The sequence below is a fragment of the Homo sapiens genome, chromosome X (assembly GCF_000001405.40).
Source record: "Homo sapiens chromosome X, GRCh38.p14 Primary Assembly".
In the NCBI taxonomy this organism is placed as follows: domain Eukaryota; kingdom Metazoa; phylum Chordata; class Mammalia; order Primates; family Hominidae; genus Homo; species Homo sapiens.
Genome location: NC_000023.11, coordinates 135,050,618 through 135,052,756, shown reverse-complemented (window position 1 = coordinate 135,052,756; position 2,139 = coordinate 135,050,618). Strand labels below are relative to the sequence as shown.

The window sequence follows — 2,139 nt, the reverse complement described above, 5'->3', positions numbered from 1 at the left end:
TTTCTTAGAATTTAACCCACCTTTCATTAACTGCTTATGGCACATTACACTTTGAATATGCTGCTCTGGATTATATTTGCTAATATTTGGGATTTTCCCATTAATGTTGCAAAGCAGGGAGCAAATAATCTGACTGAGACATATACGAAGAAGCAAAAAAAAATGTGTTCACAGAACTCTACTCAAGTGGCGTCCAGAGCCCAGGGTTCTGAAAGCAATGTCCAAGGACTAAAGAGTGAGGGGTCAGGAGTGCGGCAGGAGGCCGCATCGATCTCCAGAACATGGATCTTCTGCTCTCCAGGGGCAACAGGCTCAGCCTCCCCGCACACCGCCTGCTGTCCTGAGAGCCCCACTGGCGCGCCTCGCATAATCTCCGCCCTACTCCTCTGAGGCTACACGGCCTCCTCCACAGTATGAGACCCACCCCAGAACTCCTGGCATTGCCCTTCCGCGCCCTGTGACGCACCAGCGCACTAGTGACCACAAGTCTTTGTGGGCGGAGCTCGCGCAAGCGCCTGGGCTCTCCCCCATGGCTCCGCCCACAGCCCGTCCCGGCCCGGGCCCCCACCCTCGACATGCGCTTCCGGCGACGCCTTAGCGCTGACCCCCACGCAACCCAGCGAAACTCCGCGGAGCGCGCGCGGCACGATGGACGGTCGGGTGCAGCTGATGAAGGCCCTCCTGGCCGGGCCCCTCCGGCCCGCGGCGCGTCGCTGGAGGAACCCGATTCCCTTTCCCGAGACGTTTGACGGAGATACCGACCGACTCCCGGAGTTCATCGTGCAGACGAGCTCCTACATGTTCGTGGACGAGAACACGTTCTCCAACGACGCCCTGAAGGTGACGTTCCTCATCACCCGCCTCACGGGGCCAGCCCTGCAGTGGGTGATCCCCTACATCAGGAAGGAGAGCCCCCTGCTCAATGATTACCGGGGCTTCCTGGCCGAGATGAAGCGGGTCTTTGGATGGGAGGAGGACGAGGACTTCTAGGCCGGGAGACCCTTGGGCCTGGGGGCGGGTGCTCTGGGAAGAGTTCGCTGTGCCAGTGGCCACCGCTAGGGTCTCCACAGGCGCCCTCCCTCCGCGCCTCCCTCCCCCTCGAGCCGCCGCGATGTCCCCTGCGCTCCTGTCCCCTCCCGCGTAGTGCTTGCCTTTGTTCCAGGAATAGCGCTCCAGGCTCCTGCTGCAGCTCCTGGGCCGCACTCTAGAGCGCGCTGCCTCCGCCCTCTTTTGCCAGCCCAGCCCCTCCATGCACATTTGGACGCTGTCCTGCACTTCAGGTGCAAGCTGGGCTCCTGTTACATACTGGACAGACCACCCACAGCCGCTGCTGCCAACCCACCTCCACTCCTCCAGACTGCCAGCCAACTACATCATTCTGCCCACAGACCTACGCTACCACTGCCATCGCCATCCACCGCATCTCACCAACAGACTGTGGCTCCTAGTGATGTGGACTCACCTCGGAGGTATCCGAGCTGGACACAGCCCCTGGACAGTGATCCAGACAGCTGGCCGTCCCCCAAGGAGCCTGTCACCTTCAGCGAGACCCATTTCCTCCCCATCCCCAGAGACCTCTTGTGTTCCTGCCACATAGCTGCCAGGGCTTAAGTGTGCCTGGCAACCAAATCGAATCTCTCATTTTCTCCTGTGGACCAGTTAGTTTTGCCTAGAATCCTGTTTTCTTCTGAATTTGCAGCTGTCTCTCTGATGGGTGCCTTTTGTTCAACACAGTAAGCCCTGCTCCCTTCCCTGCTCTAATACACTACCTGTACAAAGGTTTTTTCCTTATTTTTAATAAATGTCAGACACTATTAAATAGAAATGGAGTCTCAATGAATATGGCACCTTTCCCTCCCTGGTTCTGTAAATAGGGTCCATGTCTTCTTCAAATGCTATGTGCCCTGTCATACTACGGCTGAAGTTGACTCTTGCATTATAAAAACAAAAGACTGAGTCCTGTGGAGTGTCCTAGGGATGGAGATCTTATCGGCAACCATCTAATGCCAAATGATGACCCTTCTAAACCACGCAGTTTCATGCCACTTTTGAGGCAGACATTGATCTGATTTTGGCCAAGGCAATGTCAAAAGCTGTGGAAAAGCTTTTTGTAAAAGGTTTCCTTATTTTCAAAAAATG

The 2,139-nt window shown here is 56.0% G+C and overlaps 1 protein-coding gene across 2 annotated transcripts, besides 2 other annotated features; it reads left to right on the top strand.

Moving 5' to 3' along the window:
- Window positions 257-436: an enhancer, noted in NCBI's record as "active region_29979". NCBI's record gives its function as "activates an Ori minimal core promoter by ATAC-STARR-seq in GM12878 lymphoblastoid cells {active_cell/tissue: GM12878}" and the evidence as "EXISTENCE:reporter gene assay evidence [ECO:0000049][PMID:35858748]".
- On the top strand, window positions 622-1,825 carry RTL8A (retrotransposon Gag like 8A). Of its 2 annotated transcripts, NM_001134321.2 has the most exons (2): window positions 622-840; window positions 1,389-1,825. In NM_001134321.2, exons 1-2 carry the CDS (start codon window positions 649-651, stop codon window positions 1,446-1,448), a joined length of 252 nt encoding a protein of 83 aa, NP_001127793.1. In that variant the 5' UTR covers window positions 622-648; the 3' UTR covers window positions 1,449-1,825. The 2 variants fall into 2 exon arrangements, with proteins under 2 accessions (NP_001127793.1, NP_001071640.1); NM_001078172.2 differs by having other exon boundaries at window positions 622-1,825.
- Window positions 1,074-1,860: an enhancer, noted in NCBI's record as "H3K27ac-H3K4me1 hESC enhancer chrX:134184927-134185713 (GRCh37/hg19 assembly coordinates)". NCBI's record gives its function as "activates a minimal SCP1, AML or CMV promoter by ChIP-STARR-seq in primed H9 embryonic stem cells {active_cell/tissue: H9 hESC(primed)}" and the evidence as "EXISTENCE:reporter gene assay evidence [ECO:0000049][PMID:30033119]".